General features: G+C 44.8%; 2 protein-coding genes across 5 annotated transcripts in view, besides 2 other annotated features; one reads left to right on the forward strand and one right to left on the reverse strand.

The window, feature by feature from the left end:
- Positions 1–11,844, forward strand: part of MXD1 (MAX dimerization protein 1) — a 27,837-nt gene extending 15,993 nt beyond the window's left edge. For 2 of the 3 annotated variants that reach the window (NM_002357.4, NM_001202514.2), the window contains 3 exons: positions 4,250–4,364; positions 6,134–6,293; positions 6,996–11,844. In NM_002357.4, coding sequence (NP_002348.1) covers positions 4,250–4,364; positions 6,134–6,293; positions 6,996–7,183 — 463 coding nt within the window. In that variant the 3' untranslated portion in view covers positions 7,184–11,844. The remainder of the gene's footprint in view (positions 1–4,249; positions 4,365–6,133; positions 6,294–6,995) is intronic. The other variant, NM_001202513.2, reaches the window with a different exon arrangement.
- The window catches only part of ASPRV1 (aspartic peptidase retroviral like 1), a 154,659-nt gene continuing 138,627 nt past the window's right edge, over positions 1,616–17,647 (reverse strand). The window contains exon 8 of one of the 2 annotated variants that reach the window (NR_170375.1): positions 1,616–2,092. The gene's annotated coding sequence lies outside the window, so the exon portion shown is untranslated. Of the gene's footprint in view, positions 2,093–10,804; positions 12,818–17,647 lie in introns of those variants that run through there. The other variant, NR_170376.1, reaches the window with a different exon arrangement.
- Positions 6,208–6,743: an enhancer, noted in NCBI's record as "H3K4me1 hESC enhancer chr2:70164441-70164976 (GRCh37/hg19 assembly coordinates)". NCBI's record gives its function as "activates a minimal SCP1, AML or CMV promoter by ChIP-STARR-seq in primed H9 embryonic stem cells {active_cell/tissue: H9 hESC(primed)}" and the evidence as "EXISTENCE:reporter gene assay evidence [ECO:0000049][PMID:30033119]".
- Positions 15,382–16,581: an enhancer, noted in NCBI's record as "P300/CBP strongly-dependent group 1 enhancer chr2:70173615-70174814 (GRCh37/hg19 assembly coordinates)". NCBI's record gives its function as "activates an origin of replication core promoter dependent on BRD2, BRD4, P300/CBP, MED14 and CDK7 cofactors, with strong dependence on P300/CBP, by STARR-seq in HCT116 cells {active_cell/tissue: HCT116}" and the evidence as "EXISTENCE:reporter gene assay evidence [ECO:0000049][PMID:35650434]".

Below are 17,647 nucleotides of genomic sequence, written 5' to 3' on the forward strand. Positions count from 1 at the left end.
CAGGCATGCAATGCATAATAATCACATCAAGTAAAATGTGGTGTTCATCCCCTCAAGCATTTATCCTTTGTGTTGCAAACCATCCAGTTCTACTCTTCCAGTTATTTAAAAATATACAATTATTTTGACTATAGTTACCCTGTTGTGCTATCAAATACTAGGTGTTATCCATTCTTTTAAGCTATTTTTTTTTTAACCCATTAACCATCCCCACCTCCTGCCCACCCCCGCTACCTTTCCCAGCCTCTGGTAACCCTCCTACTCTCTATGTCTGTGAGTTCAATTGTTTTGATTTTTACATCCAAAAAATAAGTGAGAATATGCAACGTTTGTCTTTCTGTGCCTGGCTTATTTCACTTAACCTAATGACCTCCAGTTCCATCCATGTTGTTGCAAATGACAGGATCCCATTCTTTTTATGGCTGAATAGTACTCCATTATGTATATGTACCACATTTCTCCAGACATTTACTCTTAATCACTGCATTAATATTTGGTTGCATAGTGACTGAGTCAGAATTTTTTAAAAAAATTAAAAATCAACAAAATTTGGGATACTTAAAACTTACTGAATAGAATCTATAGTTGTATCTAAATTTGTTATTACTAGTTATGGGCCATACTTGATTCAGAGCATGACTTATTATAGTTCAAAGATTGGTTTCTTTATGCCACTGTAGACCAAAGGTATATCAGCTTATTCAGAATAATTAAAGTTATGTTTCTGAAGAGTCAGAAGGTGAAGTTTGTTAGTCCATGGCCTAGGTACAAAGCAGTGTGGATCAGTGCTAAAGGAAGAGGCAGCCGGGTGCCAGGAAGATGGGAGGTAGCTCTTGGCAACAGAGGGAAGACTGAAGAAGATGTGATGGGAGGAGAGTCAACTTCCTGGGTCACACTGAGGTGTCGGGTGGCTTCCTGTTGAGGATATATGGCAAAACCCCTGCTAGTTCCCCAAATGGGAGTTTGACCTGGTTTAAAATGGGACAGCAGGGCACAGGAGTAGTCAGAACTGAGAAAAGAGAGCTGAGACGGGTGTTTGTTCTGCTTGTTTTGGATCTGGGAGCTCCGTGGGTACTCAGGGCTGGCAGAGGGATTCTAGATCCCAGGAGTTTGTGTGTCTGTATGTGTGTCTGTGTATGTGTGTGTGTGTCAGGGTTGGAGAGCTTTGGTAGGAGCTGTACATAACAGAGGGGTCTGTTTGCTTTTTTATCTGGTTCAGGGATTGGATTTCACTACTGTATGATAGAACTGAGTCTACTTAATATATTTCATTGCTCTCCTGTGGTTGGCCCGGGCACCAGTGTGGGGATGTCTGCAGGCAGTGGCATGTGGGCAGGGGGCAGCCATCAGGCTGCAGCAGTGAGGCGCCGGAGAAGGCCAAGGCAGACACTGCCAAAGACAGAGTTGGCTTTGGGTCTCTGCAAAAATCCAGAAAGAATTCTGGTCCTATTTTTGTAGAACTAGGCCAGAAAACACTGAATGAACAAGTATTAGTCTCAGCTGGAATTAGTCAAATGGCTTATTTCTAGTTTCACGACTAGGAGTGTTCTTTGGAAACCCACATTTGGGTAGTGAAAATTGCACTTTCTGGGCAAGACTCCTATAAGGCTAGAAATGACAATGCATCAAAAGATGACTTTATTATATTTTTATCAGTGGACAAACTTCCTAAAAAAATTCACACACTCATATCTGCATATAAACCAACATCATAAAAGTACTAAAATGACACTGTTCTGAATCATGCAGTCTTTGCAAATAACAAGCTGGCTGAAAAATATCTAAATATAATTTTAATTTTTGAACTTTTTCTTCTAATTGGAAAATTAGCTCATACCTGTAATCCCAGCACTTTGGGAGGCTGAGGCAGGCAGATTGCTTGAGGTCAGGAGTTCGAGACCAGCCTGGCCAACATGGTGAAACCCCATCTCTGCTAAAAATACAAAAATTAGCCGGACGTGGTGGCGGGCGCCTGTAATCCCAGATACTCAGGAGGCTGAAGAAGGAGAATCTGTTGAGCCTGGGAGGCAGAGGTTGCCATGAGCTGAGATCACGGCACTGTACTCCAGCCTGGGCGACAAGAGCAAGAACTCTGTCTCAAAAAAAAAAAAAAAAAAAAAAAACAAAAAAAGAAAATTAGTCTATAAGTTTTATGGCAAGAAATAGACAAATTTATAAATGTATAAATTATACTTTCTCATAGTGTTTCTAATAACATGATCTATTTTCATGGCTCTTTTTGAAGAATATTATCCAAGATGAACAAGTATATTTTACATACAAGTTTTCTTCCCTTCCCTGGTCCCCACCACATGCAGTAGTGGGAGGAGCACACCTGTAACATGAGTCTTTGCTCTGACTCTGCCACATGGACAGGTTTTTCAGAAGAAGTGAAAGACTTACAAAATAGTAAAGCCCTTGTGCTATTACCTCTTCCTAGCTCAGAAATGAATGCTGTACTCCCCAAGCTTGCCAAGCCTTAGAGCACCCTTGGAGAGTTTAGGACAACTTCCTCATGACCTAGAAGAGGCAGGAGGCTCAGAAGGAAGGAAGTCTAATGCCTTGCTTACTAGCCCTGCCTTAGGGGAACATCCTGAAGTCTCCCTGGAGAGTGTGAATTGACTTCTTACATTAATATCATGCATATTCACCTGTCCTATAGCTTTCTGAAGCCATTTCCTTTCTTTGGTCTATATTTTCAACTTTTGCTATTACAGTACAATTCTTAAGAGGAAAAAGGGCAAACCTATAAGGCATTGCATTGTTTCCCAATTCAGCTGGAGGGGAGCCTCCTAGACCCCAGGGAACTCTGCTCCAAGTAGGTTGTGTGTGGGCAATGAATGTTATCTAAAACCTGAAGACTCTGAGCACTGCTGAAGGTGCAAAGATGCAGTAGAGATGGACTCTGTCCTCTAGAAGCTTAAAGTCTAGTTGAATAGATGACATAATCCATTCAGCAAACACTTATTAAGCATGTGTGTGTTTGAGGCACGGTGACAGCACAGCAATGATTAAGCTGCAATCCTGACTTTCTAAGGAGACTGCAATGAATGGTTAAGTAAGAAATATGAAACAAGTCAGGCAGTACAGTGAACTTCCCAGTGAATAATATAAACAGTTAAGTGGTGCTTAGAAAATAGAGGAATCACTGTGAGCTAGGATGGCTTGGGAAGGCTTTAAGGAGGTGGTAAGCTTAAGCAAAACCCCCAAATCTCAGCTGCTTCTTACATTCATAGAATTTTCCAGGTTCTAGAATAAAGCACAAACCATTTCAAGGAAATGTAAATTTCTCAGTTGGAGCAACTCTCGTGCTCTCTCTTCAGTCAGTTGCCGTGGCTGCTGCTTCATCCAGCCCTTCTCCCTCTCCCACTCCGTGCCATTGCATCAGTCTGACATACTCCAAGAACAAAAAGTATAAAAAATGACTCAGTAAAAACCCCCATCACTTCCTTCCTTATCTCTGTCTGACTGTTCCTTGCCTTCTCCCTGCCCAGCCAGTTTCTTATGTGTCATTCCAGAGTTTGTCTACATACAAGAAAACATGAATATAGATTCTTGTTTTCCTCCATCTTTAAGATAGCATGGTATACTCACAGTTTGGAATCTTGCTTTTCTCCACTTAACAATATATCTGGAAAATCTTTCCTAATAGGACATAAAGCACATTCTCATTCTTTTTGATAGCTACATAGTACTACACGGTGTGGATGTAGCATAATTTATTTAACCAGTTCCCTCCTGGGTGGTCATTTGGGTTGTTTCAATCTTTGCTATTACAAATAAAGCTTCAACAAATAACTCCACAGATATATATGCTCCTTGACTTATGATGGGGTTATGTCTCAAGAAGCCCATCATAAATAAAAAACATCCCAAGTCTAATATGCATTTAATACTTCAATAAACTCATTATAAATTTAAAAAATTGTAAGTTGAACCATCATGAGTCAGGGACCATTACTGTATATAGTATTTACACATGTGAATGACTATATAATAGCAGATATTATTCCCTACCCCAGCACTTGTATTATCAATAGACTTAGCTTCGAAAACCTTGGATTTTGCTTCTCATTGGTTTTCACCAGAGTTGTCTGGTTCAAAATATGTTTATTCAGCAAAAGGTCATTGGTAGCATTTGCCATCGCAAGGCCTGGGCAACTTCACACTCTTTGAGAACTCATTCTGCCTGGGGTGCTTCTGGCCCACTGTGAAACTCTCAAATGCTACTGTGGTCTTGTTTTCATAGACGGGCTCATCTTCGCTTGTGCCTGGAGAAGTTGAAGGGGCTGGTGCCACTTGGACCCGAATCAAGTCGACACACTACGTTGAGTTTATTAACAAAAGCCAAATTGCACATAAAGGTAAGTGTATTGTTGGGATGCTGCTTTATCTTTACCTGTTCAGTGAGGGTTTGTCTGTTGTTACATCTCCAGGACAGTCCTCTCCCCTGAACTCCTCCAGTCTAGCTATTGGATGAATCACAGGTACCTCAAATGCAACATATTCAAAACCCAACTGAGTGTTTCTCACTCCCATGCACCAGAGGTTAAATGGTCCATCCAACTCTCCATCCAGTTGTACAAGCCAGAAATTCAGGAGTCCGTGATAGCTCCTGCTCCTTAACCATATATCTAGGCCATCTCCAAGGCCTAAATATTTTGCAACCGGTCTACTTCCATCTTCATCCCCACTGTCTACTGCAATAAAATCCTCAGAGGTCTCCCTATATCCCTCTGGGTCCCTCCCGTCTGCTTTCCATGCTTCCTGAGAACAGTCCTTCCAAGGTGCAAATCAACACGTGACCTTGTTTAAAATTCTTCTGTGGCTCAGGACAAGCTCTGTCACCTGGTCTGCCCCAGATTCTGCCTTGCCTGGTCCTCACTTGCCTCTGCAGCACCATCTTGTTCCCCAATTCCCCTTTCTCCAGCCCTTCTTCCAGTCCCTGGCACTGTCATATTGTCTTACTTTAGGGCCTTTGTCAATGCTCTTCCCTCTGCTTGGTACACTTTCCTCTCTCTTCTTCACCTAGAGGACTTCTACTTATTCTTCAGATCACAGTGCAAGTCTCTCTAGCTCTGATAATCCTTCGCTGACTTTCCCAACTCAGTGACCTCCTTCCTGTGACAGGTGGTCCCATCACTGGGTATCTCTTAGCCCTGTCATAACTGACATTTGACAGTGGTTTGTGTGACCATTGTGTTGTCTCAATCCTTAGACTATACACCCCACGAGGGAGGGGACTGGGTCTTTGTGCTCACCTCACAGCCCCAGCACCTCCTAGGGTATCGGGCACAGAGTTGACACTCTCTTTGCTACCTGAATAGCAAAGGGTAAGGGGAATTGGATTCAAAGTCTTGAGAGCCACAGCCAAAATCCCTGTTTAGCATGTTTGTATAATCATATTATAGTTGGACAAATGTTACTTTAATTATGGTTAGAAGCCTGCATTCATGACAATTCTGGGAGAAAACCTCTATTTAAAGCAAAACAGCTACAATTAAACAATCTTCTTAATTATCTGAAGAATATGAGAAGCTGGGGGCAGATTTATAAAAATGAGTATTCTATGGAAATGTGTTTTCTAAACTCTTCTGTTGGACAAATTAGAATCAGGACATCAAAAGGGACTATTATTTCCTGCTAACAAACAGAAGTTAATTGAGATTTGGCATGACACAAAAAAGTGCTTATGTAATTGGGACATGTACTTGAATAAACATAGTTTTAAATGGAAGCGTGTTTCTTAAGCTCCCATCAAGTGCAGTTTTCTAGTCCGGAGATCAGGTGTTCAGGGGATTGCTGCAAACAAGGGAGATCAGGTTGGGGACTGCTGCCTGCAGTCTTTCTGATACTAAAACTGAGGGCTACCAGGGTGCCAGTATGTGAGAGCTCACCCCCAGAATCCCTGTGACAGGACAAGTACCCCCAGCACTGGCGATGCTGAAGAGTCAGACGAAGCCAGGAGTCACTGGCCAGTCGACTTCCTGTCTCAGGGAGAAGCTTGATGAGTGGCACCGAAAGGCGTCTGAGGAAGTGTGGCGCATTCCACTGCTAGAAGGGAAGATGCGGGGGCCATTGCCCATTTAGAGATCTCCCTGTGGGGCCCAACAACTACCCCTTTGACTTGCAGAAACTTGAAGATTGTGACAGAAAAGCCGTTCACCAAATCGACCAGCTTCAGCGAGAGCAGCGACACCTGAAGAGGCAGCTGGAGAAGCTGGGCATTGAGAGGATCCGGATGGACAGCATCGGCTCCACCGTCTCCTCGGAGCGCTCCGACTCCGACAGGGGTGAGCCTCTCTCACTCTCCTCCCTGTCTCCCTTGTGCTCCCCAACCCCAGAGCAGGGGTTCAGTACTGCGGACAGGAGGCAGAGTGTAAGAAGAACTAAGACACTGGGTATGATGTAGAGAAGTCGAACAGTGTGACCTCCAGTGACAGGTTCCTTCTCCCTGCTAACACTTAGGTGACAACCCCAGAAGAGTTTGATTGGTGTCAGTTTTCAGCCTAGTTTGTTTTGTTTTGTTTTGAGACGGAATCTTGCTCTGTCACCCAGGCTGGAGTGCAGTGGTGTGATCTTGGCTCACTGCAACCTCCGCCTCCCGGGTTCAAGCGATTCCCCTGCCTAAGCCTCCCAAGCAGCTGGGATTACAGGCACACACCACAATGCCTGGCAAATTTTCCTATTTTTGTAGAGATGAGGTTTCACCATATTGGCCAGGCTGGTCTCGAACTCCTGACCTCAAGTAATTCACCCACCTTGGCCTCCCAAAGTGCTGGGATTACAGGCGTGAGCCACCACACCCAGCCAAATTTTTGTATTAGTAGAAACAGGGTTTCACTGTGTTGGCCCAGCTGGTCTCAAACTCCTAACCTCAAGTGATCCACCCGCCTTTGCCTCCCAAAGTGCTGGGATTACAAGCATGAGCCACCACGCCTGAGCTTTCTGCAGAGCGCTTTCATCAATGTCCTTCTCTCTTGTCCTCCCTGCAGAAGAAATCGACGTTGACGTGGAGAGCACGGACTATCTCACAGGTGATCTGGACTGGAGCAGCAGCAGTGTGAGCGACTCTGACGAGCGGGGCAGCATGCAGAGCCTCGGCAGTGATGAGGGCTATTCCAGCACCAGCATCAAGAGAATAAAGCTGCAGGACAGTCACAAGGCGTGTCTTGGTCTCTAAGAGAGTGGGCACTGCGGCTGTCTCCTTGAAGGTTCTCCCTGTTGGTTCTGATTAGGTAACGTATTGGACCTGCCCACAACTCCCTTGCACGTAAACTTCAGTGTCCCACCTTGACCAAAATCAGCTTTGTAACTGTTTTCAAGGAGGTGCTTAGGATTGTGGGTTTCTGATTGCATCCACTAGCTTCTCTTTTTCTCGCCATAAAAATTTGTCTCTGAGAGACTATACATTCCAATCAATTTGAAGCATCCAAGAATTCTTAGACCGAATAAGCAATGTCCACATCTCAGCAATCCCCCTCTTTGCTCTCCTCGTGTCCTCTCCCAGACCTTTCTTCCAGTTTTCTGGCTTACTGTGTTACTTGCCTAGGAGGAATGTCCAAGTGTGTCTTGTACTTAGGAAACTGAAGGAAACAAACTTTTGAAATTGAGATCCTGATCTCAGAACTCCAAAGTAAGCTTTGAAAGCAGCATTTAAGAGCACTTAACCATGGACCTCACCACCAGTGAGGAAGTCAGGAATACCTCTAGAAAACACGCCCTTCACACCGCGCATGCTCATTCCCCCGACGCGCCGCGTGTGGATGGGAGCAGTATTTCTCACTTTAAAATGGACACCTTGATAGTGTGTCTCTGGGGTTGCACAGCTCATCAAAGTTCCAAATTGTTTGTTCTCACAAACAAAACGGTACAATCTATTTTTGTGCGATGTTCTTGGGACCTCGCTGTGTTCTGCTATCTCGAGGCACATTCTCCCCTCCAACTTTGTTAATGCTACTTGTCTCTGGAACATTTTTTTTTCCTACCTCAGAGATAAATGAGATCTCCATTTCCCACTTAACACAGTGATTATCCTTTTTTCCCCCCCCAAAATAGTGACATTTGGTCCAATTATAATCTATTTTCCTATTGAACTTTCAGCAATAACTGAGCTGTGGCACTAGCAGAGCTAGTAGCCATTATCAGTGAAAGAAAAAGTCCACATTTCTACTCTCTGTTGCAGGTGAACAGGAGAGGATGGTACACTGTTACTAGAACTCCTCTCCTTATTGATTATTTTTGGACACACCCAGAAACTTCTTTATGGAGGCTTTTGGGTTGATAGTTTAAAAGGCTGATTTTTCTTTTTGGTTATGATTTCTCCCTTAAGTGGTCTCCGACTTTGTAGCATTTTTATTTAAGCTAAAACAGAGCACATGTATATGTACATAAGACACATTAAATCTATAAATACTATTTATTCATTTTATATAAACTAATGTAATGGAAAACAAATTCTTATGACTTTGTGGTTTTATAGATGTTCTAGAAACTTTGTATGTAGGTATCTACAAAATTAGTTCATTCCCCTGAATATTTTTGCATTCATATTTTTGAGGTCTTGATGTTTTCAGCCTCTGGCGAATCTTTTTCATTGAATTTGAACCATTTGTAAAATCTGTGATGCTGAAGCAGAGTGTGTCACAAAGTGATGAGAACATTACTAAAATCCACGGACGCACTGCGACCTAAGGGCTCAACGGCTGACTCGGCAGCGGGCAGCCACCCCACGCTCCCCTGCGGTCACTCGCACACCACAGCCTGAAGCTCCCCCAGCGCCTGCACCTCGCACACAGCTAAGGTCAAAGTTCAAACGCACTCCACACGGAAGCTCATTCTATACCCGAAGAGCAGTCTCAGAAAGCAAGATTACTTTTGTGTTTTTTAAAAAATGATTCTTTAATGTATTTTTCTAAACATTCTGATTGGAAGTAGTGGATTCCTAAATGATTCCAAAGTCACCTGTAATTCTTCTGTTTTTGTTTTGTTCTGTCTTTTCTTCATTTTGGCTTTGGGTGGGGGGAGGGGCAGGTGACACAAAGGATTTTTTTTTTTTTTTTTTAATTTTTGGAATCTTTTCCAATAACCAGCTAAAGATTTGCACTGAAATACAACTTGTATGCCTTTTGCATTTTTAAAGCCTGCTTCCTGGATTTAAGCAGAGTGATAGTGTTCAAAGAGCCAGTTCAGCCTGTAACATATTTGAAAAAGATATGTCTGCACTTTGAGGTCCCTTTTGAATGCCATTCACTAGACCTCTCAAGCATTTTGTTTCATTGCTACATCCAAGCGCCTCACAAGTCCACAATGCGGGACAGCATCAAAAGCTCAAGACTTTGGAAAAAGCTTGTGGGCTTGCACTGGGGGAGGGAAGGGAACAAAATTTGTGTACTTCTTTGTTTAATTTAGAAATAAGGCATCCAAGAGATGCCATTATTTTCTGTGTTTCAATTGTTGTGCCTTTGAGTTAAACTGCATTTTTGTCTTTTGGTTGAAATCTGAAATGTACTGTCCCAATATAAAACAGTAATTATTTGACCTTTGCACTGTTTGTCTGGTCCTTTTCAGTTTGATTGCATATAAATGTGGAACTTGATAGATCTCTATATTTTTAATGCACTTGTGATAAACTGGCAGCAGGGTTAGACATTACTTTCAAAGCTTGAGGTAGACCGAGTCAGCATGCTAGACAGGCTTCTCTCTCTAACCAAAACTGTAATCTTCAGGACCAGCAAACTCAGCCCAAGGCAGCTAATCCCCCCAACCCCATCCTCCGCGCCCCGTGCGGCTGATCGGCAGCCCTGATTCGCCAATTTGTCCTCTCTCATTCACTGATCCACCAGCCTGACTGCTAAGAGCTATAGTCTTTTTAGTTGTTTTGTCTTTTTAAGCAAGATGAAAACCTTTCTATTAGGGATTTTGGGGTTGGGAGGGGATGGGCAGAGATATAAACCCCAGCCTTTAAGACTTTGACAATTGTACGTAAATACAGATGTGTATAAATATAGGCACATGCATATTTTTATGTGAAAGTTGATTTTAAAAAACTAAAAAAATCTAAACTGCACTCTTATTGATACCATCATAACGCAAGTGGGAAAAATAAGAGTACGCAGTCTAATTTAATTTCATGCAGTGGGAAAATATATATGTGTGCTTCTGTAACATCCTGAAAACATAGCTTTCCATCCCCTGTTGGCTTTGAATGGTGGGCCGAGCACCCAGGTCGTCTGTATTTTGGTTTTCTTTTGCTAAGCAGAGATCTTGAATTCTTCAAGGTGCTGATAGCAACTGCTGGCTCCTTTCTGTAGTCACACACCTAATGCTAGTTTAGTGATTCAAAATGCATCACATTTTTAGGCAGGACCTAGATTTTCCCTGTCAACCTAAGATGAAAATAATTTCAGTGTTGATTCAGAACTGAACATTAAGTAGGCCCTCGTCCTGCAGTTGGCCACTTGAGTGTTTTGTTTTGTTTTTATTTTTTAAGGTGGGCATTTTCCTTTAACCTCTACTTTTTCAAAAGCAACAAAGGGGCCTCAACCTGAGTTTCCTATGGGCCTCTCTTCTGCATCCCCAAAGCGGCCAAGAGCAAATCCTGGGGGATAAGAAAAAAGTGTAAACTAGGTAGGATTGTGATGCTCAAAATAACCATCTAGCAATATCTTGGAGCTTGAGAATAGATTTTGTGGGCTTATTTCTTCTTGCCTCTTCCCCATCCTTTCAAGAGAGAACTTATTTTTGAAAAGTATCTATATATACACACACACACACACACACACATATTATTATTTAGGTTTTTATACCATACTGTATTGGCGAGAATACCACTATCATTGTCCTTTACAGTCTATTTCTTCCCCCAAGTCTTGGTCTTTTTTTATTTTCTATTTTTTCATGAACCACACAGGAGACTTTAACATCCTGGTCTTTTCTGTTTCTTCTTTGTTTCCCCAAGTTTGTCTGTCCCCCTTTGCCTTCCCTGAGTGTTGAACATCAGGTAGTAAAAGGCTAAACGCAATTTCTTGCATGTCAATCTATTCTTTTTCTATGTTTGACTCTGATGCAGTGTGTTTAGCGTGTCTAGTAGCTGGCTACTCCTATTTAAAAACTCTTCCTGGTAGAAGACAACCCAAAGACCCTTTTCGATGAGGTGGTTTCTCATTCTACATCCTCTGATCTCTATAGACTGTAGGATGCTTTGCTTTCAAAGATAACTGGGTTAGAGGGTGGGGTGTGCAATAGGTGATTTATCATGGTTTTTTTCATTATCAATATTACATGGATGATTTTCTCAGATTCTTCTGAAAGAAGAAATTGACAGGCACTGCTAGATTCAGCTATTGAATGGCTGAAGAGATTGAGTATTTGACCTTCTCTCAAAATCATAAAGTGAGAATTCATAAGGCACCCAATGTTAAGATTTATCCAGATTTTTACATTTTGATTTCTTCTCTCTGTGGGGTGGCAAGTTGAGGGAGCATTCTTCATTTTAGCTTTTACCTGACAACCAAACTTGCCTTTACCCCATCCCTAGAATTGGTGCTCTTGGAATATTGCTGTTACCATCATTTTTGGGGGGCCATCTTCCTAATGCTACACACAGCCTGACAGGGGAGCAGCAGATGAAAGGGTATGCTATTCTGTTTCCAGATGTTTCTTTATGTAAATATGACGCCAATGTAAATCCTGTGTCAAGATCATAGAGAATGGTGCTTTTTACTACAGTTAGCACATGCATTTTTAGAAACTACTACATGTTTTAGAGAATCTTTGCTGTGTATATGTAAACTGTATTGTTCAACTGTTAACAAATAATAAATTATTTCATTATTAAAGAAATTTTGGTCTTTCTGATGTTTTGTATCACAATTTACCCTTTCGTGGTTGTCCTTGCAGAACTGCGTTCATCAGATTTCTTTTTTTCTTTTAATTTAAGGGAAACTTCACTAGCTAAAAGTTTTCAGCCCTTGGAGCCTGTGATGAGGATTGAGATTGTGTGGCTCCAGTTGAGCCCATTTGTTGATCAGAATTAGCCACAGTCCCACCCTCTCCACTGCCCCATCATCCCACCTACTGGTTTCACCTGCTCGTTGACTCATTCTTGGCTGACTTGCCCTTTGTTTTGGGTGCCTCTAATGATGCAGGCTGTAAGCACTGCCAAGACTTCTGCATCTTTTGAGCAGCCTGTAGCCTGCTGGGAAAGATATGCACACAATTTAATGCAGTGTAATTAGTTGTGGAATAAAGTTGTGTGGGAAAGCTCCATGAGAAGTTAGAGGTGGTGCATTCGAGCTGGGCCCTGGAGGAGGAGTGAGTGTTTGCTGGGAAAGGAGCATTGCTGGGAAGGAGAACATCCAGGGCAGTGAGGCAGGTGCTCAGGCAGAGTCCAGCTTCGTGGGGCTGCGGTGTGGCCTGGACCTGGGGCATGTCAAAGGAAAGACCTTGTGGATTGCACAACTCACTGAGAGGAGAGAGGCATTGGCTGAGGATGTCCGTTCCTTTACATACTAACCCATCTGGTTAGTATACATTTATTCATTCACTGAACAAATACGGCTTGAGTACCTGCTCCATATCAGGCTCCGTCCTAGAGGTGAGGACACATCTAAGAACAGCACACAAACCCCTGCCTCATGCTGCCACCTTTCCAGCGTGAGTCTCATTGGCGCTCAAGTCCTCATCATGGCAAGTTCGCCAAGTGCAGTCTGTCTTCCTGTTTTTGTTACACCAGGAGAGCACTTTTTCGGAGTCAAGAGGAGGAAAAAGTTGTCTTTCTCCTTGTTGACCAATGACTTCTTGTTCTAAAAACCACCTAAAATTTTTGAAAGGTTTTTAAGTTAACTGCATTGGCATTCTGCCTGCAGGTCTGATGAAAAAGGAACTTCCTGGTACTTCTACTTTGGAAAGTGGCCTGCCTTGTCTGCTTTCTCCAAAGAGTAGGGGTGGCAGCTGGGCCCTTTTAGGATGTGAGATTCTAGGATCCATCACTGTGGACAAGCCCCAAATGGAACCCACCTAATAGTGCATTGGTCACAACCTCAACAAAAGCTACGTTCTCTAAAGCATCAGGATCCCTTGTTTACTGTGGTTGCGGAGAGGAAGCTTTGAACTGTAGATAATTAGAAAGACAGCTTTCACATAAAATAGCCTCCCCCACAAGATGACAAATCTTATTTCCGAAGTTTCCTGACTTGTTCACAGTAGCTGGATGAAAAAATGTCACTTGTTATGCTGTATGGGCCCATGTCATAACGAGGGTCAGCCCACATTTACTGAGTGCTAAGGGCTGGGTGCGCCACTGCAGGGCCTCCGTGAACCTTCACATTGGCCCCGGGAGGGGAGCGCTAGCATTATCCAAACTTCACAGGTAAGGAAGCTGAGGGAGAGAGAAGTGAGGCATTTTGCCCCAAACCCACAGAGCTAGTGAGGGGTGGGACTGGAAGCGTCAGCAGCCGGGCTGCTGAGCCCCACACTCCCTTGCCCCAATTTTTGCAAGAGCTGTGCCAAATTGTCATCAGTCTTCCATATACGGCATCTTTTCCTTTTTAAGCCTTTGAACGAGGCTACCTATTTTCTTTGGAGGGGACCTTATATTCCAGACAGTGGAGCAGAAAAATGGGAATTCACAATACAATTACTAGGCCATGGCTGTCCTCTCAATCTCAACTTCCCTCTGTGCCTATTGTGAAGAAGGACCCCCCCTCCTCTACTGCTGATCCTCCTGGGGATCTAGTGGGAATAAACCAGCATGCTCTCAAAGGAAGACACTCTCTCTATCCCATGTCGTCTTGGTGGCGAACCCCGTGACATCACTTATTTATTCAACCAGTATTTACCGTACATGACTTCTACTTAGGCCCTGGAGTCCCCATTACCCAGTGCAGCTTTGACTCACCTCTTCGATGTCACTATGACCTAGATGAGGAGGGCCACACCAAGGCTCTCTGCCAAGAGACTATGGAAGGCCCATTGCCCACTTAGGCCTTCCCATCAATAAAGGACACGTAGGCCTGTCGTCCCAGCTGCTCTGGAGGCTGAGATGGGAGGATGGGCGCCCAGGAGGTCGAAGCTTCTTTGAGCTATGATTGTACCACTACACTCCAGCCTGGGCGACAGAGAGAGACCCTGTCTCAAAAAACTAAAACTAGAAAAACAAACCCTCGTAATCTGCACATGCACCCCCTGAATCTAAAATAAAAGTTGGAATTATTTTAAAATATATATAAAAGTAAAGGACATTCAGCTTCCAGTGGCCAAGGGTCCCACAGGCAGGGTCTCTGCAGGAAGTATTGTTCAGGGCTCAGCCCAAACTGGGTGGCGAGGCAGCTCCCTGCCCACTCTGTTCCATGCAGAATTCTGGAGTCATTGCCTCTGCGAGTGTCCTTGTGGAGACTAGATGAGGTAGATGTGGCTGCTGGCTGCTGGCTGGGTTGAACATGTTGCCCAGAGGAAAGGGAAGCTTTGTGTTGGGACAGAGTGACTAACCCACTTTCAGGCAGACGGCAGGGCAGGCTCTAACTGGCTGAAGCTTCCGGGAGCCTCCCCGGCTGTGGGTGAAGGCAGCGTGTCTGGTGAAGGCAGGCTAGGGATGTAATGGGACAGGCGAACCATCTTATCCAAAGGGATGACCACAGGAAGAGCCAGGACGGAGGCCAAGGGCATGCACCTGAGGCCAGGTCTGAGCGGGTGGACTGGGGGTATTGGAGCTAGAGAGGCCCACTCAGGCCCTGGAGAAAAGGGCAGGGGCTTTTCTAGGATGCTCTTGGCCTTGCCTGGGGGCAGAGGTGAGGAAGACAGTCAACGCAGGGAGCTCTGTGTCAGAAATACGTCTGCCTTCAAAGAAAGCAGCCATCCTGGAGGAGAAGGCACCTGGGAGGGCCTTAGGGATAGGGGAAAGAGAGAAAGGCACTGGCCAACCAACACCATTGGCCAGCCAGACAGCCGGGCTGGGTGACACCTGGAGATAGCCCCCAGCCATGCACAGGGACCAGTGGGCGTGGGAGAACCAGTATCTGTTTAGTTACAAGCAGAACATCCAACACACTCGCCTTGCCACGCTGATACTGTCATCCCCCAGAAGGCGGAAAAAACCATTGCTGTGAAGCATTCGAGCCAGTAATGACCAACAGAGACCAATAGGCTGGCCAAGTGGAAATAGAAACTCAGGGGGAGTGCCCATGTCCCCTAGGTACCCCGGAAGGTGGTCCTGGGTGATGGTCACGTGCACAGACTCTGGTCAAATGGAGCTAAGGGTCGATGCCAACTCCACCCTTAACACCCTCGGTGACCCCAGGCAAGTATCTGGGACTCTGCTGACCCGGTCTGTAGAGTGAGGATAATAACAGCATGTACTTCCCAGGGCTGCTAGGGGGATTAAGTAAGGTAAAGTATGCAAACAGCTTTTCCCCATGCCTGACATGCAGAAAGCATTCAGTACATATGAGCAATTATAATCATTTTCCCAGCCAAGGAGAGAACGTTCGAACACTGTCTGGCATGTGACTTGGATTTTCAGAATACAAAATTCCAACACTCAGAGAAGAAATAAGCTTGGAAGGGAAAATTACATTAGAGGGTGGGGAAGTGTTCAAATATGTCATTCTGACTGTGCTGTTTAGACAACAAACAGTAGGCAGGAAGTGGTTAAACCGAAAGGGGGAGCAGAGGGTGACTCAGGGACAGAATGTGGGCATTGACAGTGGAGGGGTGGCTATTTTCCAGGTAGTATCTCACCTATGTGCTGTTCGGAAGGTCAAAACGACCCTAAGACCCCGCCAGCCCTACAGGGCAGTTCCTCTCATAGAGAGACCAGATCATACAGAGGTGGCTCAGAGAGAGAGACAGAGGGAAGCCCTTGCTAAAATGCCCATATGTTGCAAGTATCTCATCAGAAGAGGCCAAATGACTTCAGTTCCCGCATTCACACGTACCTTTGCACTGCAAATTCAGAACAACCGTAGGTAGAGCTCTACCCAGACGGGGACAACTCCACACTTCAAGTATGACCTCTGAGCAACTGCAGAGGTTGTGATGATTCTTGGCTACTTTGCAGTTAATAACTTTGGTCAAAGAAGCTACCAGTCAATGCAGACTAGCACAGGGCATGGAACAGTGTGTGGCCCAGAAGAGGTATCAGTGGAAGAGTAAAGAGATAATCAGGATGGAACCTGGCCCTGCTTTCTTGTCACCACACTTTATAATGTTAGGGAAAAGTATTCTTTTGGAACTCATTGCAGCAATCCCATTGCTTTCCCCTGAAAAACAGGTGTGTTTACCTCAGGGAAACAGTGAATCATGCAACAGATCATCTTTCTCTTCTCCCTTTGGCTGTCAGGAAACTCAGAGCCAAATTCACACTTCACCTTTAGTAATTTTGTGAGAACCTGTAATGTGCATGTTTGTGACCCAGTTTCCCCTTAGTCTCTTCTCTGGCCTTGGCTTTTACTCAACATCTTTCCTATTTTAGTATTTGTAATTTTGGAAGTTACTTCCGATCCACCTTTGTAGAGAACAAGAGGATACTGCCATGCGGAATCACAGTGTAAAATAAAAAATGCTTTTGCAAGCAGACGGAAGTGAGGTTGACTAAGCAGGAGTGAGGTTATTGGGGTCAAGGGTGTGGAGAGGGAAGGTGAATGTGAGGGGTTTTTGGTTTTTTTGTTTGTTTGTTTGGTTATGGAAACAAACTTGCCAAGGACTAGGAGGGTGGTGCCCCAGGGCTGGAAATAATCCCTCCTGTCTAGAAGAACTGGGGCTCCTTTGGGGATATCCGCAGAGGCCAGAGGCAGTGGCAGTGCTGACCTGGGTCTGATTCCCCTGCCAGAAACAGGAAGGAATGCCACCCTTTCTCCTCAACTGGAGAAAGTTCGTTGGATTGCAAGTAAATGAGAATAGTGGTTCTATGGAACTAGCTTTGAATCGGATGTTACAGATTTTTTAGGAGTAAGCCAGAGAGACAGAGGGAGACCCCGTCTCTCAAAAAAAAAAAAAAATTAGCCGAGGTAGTGGCCTGTGCCTGTGGTCCCAGCTACCTGGGAGGCTGAGGCAGGAGAATTGCTTGAGCCCAGGGAGGTGGAGGCTGCAGTGAGTCACGATTGCACCACCGCACTCCAGCCCGGGCCACAGAGTGAGACCCTGTCTCAAACAAACAATCAAAATTAATCGCTTGCAAATTTCAGTATTTTATTACACCATCCTCGGCCCCACCAAGGTTTGATTAGCAGAGACAGGTCACGGCAGGAAGCTGTCCAGCGGCATGAAGGGGACACTGTCCTCAGCCTGTTCCACTCAACGTCAATACATCCATTTGCAGTCGGGTATGGATGGCACATTCTCTACATCTAGGGATGACCCCGTGGTTGCCAGATGGCACTGAGGGCCTGACAGAACCAGGATCCAAAAGTGCTTGACAGGCCGCAGTGGGGGCAGCTTGGACCAGATGCCTTTAGGAGGGATCAGTGGAGGCTCCGGGCTGGCTGGGAAGGCTTGCAGCCACGGAGGGCGGTGCTGAATACCGCAGCTCGCCCTGGAGGAAAGGGGGCTGGCTGCTCCTACAGAGTGGAGCCCTTTGGTCTCAGGAAGAGGCCCCGAGGGAGGGGGCTGCCCTGCCTCCGGGGCCACCGGACCCCACGGAAGCCTCCGA

The sequence above is a fragment of the Homo sapiens genome, chromosome 2, assembly GCF_000001405.40.
Source record: "Homo sapiens chromosome 2, GRCh38.p14 Primary Assembly".
NCBI classification, from domain to species: domain Eukaryota; kingdom Metazoa; phylum Chordata; class Mammalia; order Primates; family Hominidae; genus Homo; species Homo sapiens.